The 2155-nt window shown below is 45.0% G+C and overlaps 2 annotated features.

Annotated features, from left to right (window-relative positions):
• Nucleotides 538-1038: an enhancer, noted in NCBI's record as "H3K4me1 hESC enhancer chr10:131195602-131196102 (GRCh37/hg19 assembly coordinates)". NCBI's record gives its function as "activates a minimal SCP1, AML or CMV promoter by ChIP-STARR-seq in primed H9 embryonic stem cells {active_cell/tissue: H9 hESC(primed)}" and the evidence as "EXISTENCE:reporter gene assay evidence [ECO:0000049][PMID:30033119]".
• Nucleotides 1039-1539: an enhancer, noted in NCBI's record as "H3K4me1 hESC enhancer chr10:131196103-131196603 (GRCh37/hg19 assembly coordinates)". NCBI's record gives its function as "activates a minimal SCP1, AML or CMV promoter by ChIP-STARR-seq in primed H9 embryonic stem cells {active_cell/tissue: H9 hESC(primed)}" and the evidence as "EXISTENCE:reporter gene assay evidence [ECO:0000049][PMID:30033119]".

The following is a 2155-nucleotide window of genomic DNA, read 5'->3' on the forward strand; positions in this document are numbered from 1 at the left end:
GTTAAGACCATTCTAAGATGTCTATTTCCATTTTCCACTGGTGAAGTTTATTTTTGTTCCTTGTGTTGTGAGAAAGAGAATGCATTTTCACTTTCAAACACACTTATAATATTTCCTAACCTAAATAATAAAAACTAGGGTAGTATTATATCATGCTATTATCATATACCTTGATGCACTTATCGAACACTTCCAGTGTGCACTTGCATGATTTCGTTTAATTGTGCCAAACACTGTCTGAGACAGAGACCAATGCTCTTCCTATTTTATATCTGAGAAAACACATGCCTGAACATTCCTTGAAAAGTCACGATTCAAAGCCACGACTGGCCACCCCAGCCCCCACCTTGGTCCTCTCTTCCTTCTTCCCCTTTTCTCCCTCCTGCCCTCTCCACTTCTCCAAGCCTCCTCCACTCCTCTGGGGTCTGTCTCACAGTCAATGGTGGGGACAAACACTTGACGTGGTTGTTAGTCTTGTCATCTTAATTCTAGACCTCCCCCATCCTTTTGGGCTGGAAAGAACCTCCTTCAAGGAAGGAAATCCAGACTTGCCTGGCAGCATCCCACGGTATCAGGGTGCAGCAAAGCAGGAAAAGGAGAGGAGGGAGGAGCAGAGGAGGAGGGTGAGGGGCCAAGGAGCCGAGAGAACTTGTCTATAAACAGGGCTCTGCCTCTCTAGCAACTGGGCTAAAATGAGAACAAAGGGGTGCTCAACTTCCAAACCCTGCTGAAACCCAGCAGGGTTTACTTTGTTATCCCCTTGCTCTCCTGTGGGAGACTCCGGGAGCCAGCCTCCGTGTCATTTCAACCACGTTTCCAGGGATGCTCCTTGACCCAGTTGCAGGCAGAACCCCAAAACATGTCCCACAAAGTCCTGCAGGATCCGCCTCCACCGACCTGGATGCCCCTTACAAGACCCACTGTGTCGCATGTCCTGCACTGGGTCACCCCGGCCTCGTTCCTGGGCAGGGCCCTTGCCCTCCCCACTCCTGGAATGGCTACATGTTTGGTTCCCCGGCCTGGCGGATGTCAGTTTCTCTCTTGGCCTAGTTTCAGCTGGTAGCTAAAATGCGGCTTCCTTCAGGAAGCCTTCCACGGCAGACTCCAGGTCATGCTCCTTCCTGACTTCTCCCCGCTTCCAGGGCTTTTCTCCCAGGGCTGGCTGAAACCTGGTGCTTTGATGCCTCCGCTCACCAAGTGGGAAGTTCCCAGAAAGCAGGGCGCTGGGTGTTTCCCTCCGCAGCCCCAGGAGAGAGGCCGGTTTACAGCAAGTGTGCCACGATCATTTGTTGCATGAATGAATACGTATGATTTGCTTGGTCTTTATAGACAGGCAGGAAATTAGCCTAAAAGGTTTTACTAAACTTTCATTGCCTTTTCTCCTCCAGCTTTTTTGGAGGTGTAATTGACAAATAAGAGTTGTATATACTGATGGCATAGGTGGTGGCATTTTGATATATATGTGAAATGATGTTCACAAACTAATTAACGAATGCATCCCTTCACATGGTCACCTACTCTCTTCATAAATTTCAAGTACATATGAATCATTTGAATGATTTGCCTACTCAGTCTAAATTTTCATGGTAATTAGGGCTATGTGAACCTAGTATTAAGATCCAGAAAAATAAGTTTTGGGAATTACTAAAAATAAAAAAAGCATCATCTGTGCATGTACACACACACACACGCGTGCACACACACACAAGCACATGGACACACACCTTGGCATGTTTAGAAAAGAAACAGGCAACTGTAGGCCTTTGTGGCCATTTGGTGGAGATATTTCAAGTTTACACTTGTAAATTCCAGACTCAACTTTGGCTGTGACTTAAGAAATTCTGTTAAATTAAACTTTGGAGATTTCACAGAAAGAGAGTGGTTTTCCACTGCTGAATATTTCACAGCAAAGCCTGTTTGTGTGTGCACGTGTGTGTCTGCAAGAGAAAGAGGTTTTCGTTGTACTTGTTGTTTCATATGTGTATGCTTCAATAGATCTGCCAATTTCTCCCAGCATTGCCTTTCTGGGAGAAAGGCCAATTTTCTTCATTTTAAAAATATCATAACATTTGTGTTAGCAAAAACTCCTATAAATGCCATCAGCTACAGAATTCCAGTTTAATTTCTATTTTGACTTTATCAAAATTTGAGAAAA

Source organism: Homo sapiens, chromosome 10, assembly GCF_000001405.40.
Source record: "Homo sapiens chromosome 10, GRCh38.p14 Primary Assembly".
Taxonomy (NCBI): domain Eukaryota; kingdom Metazoa; phylum Chordata; class Mammalia; order Primates; family Hominidae; genus Homo; species Homo sapiens.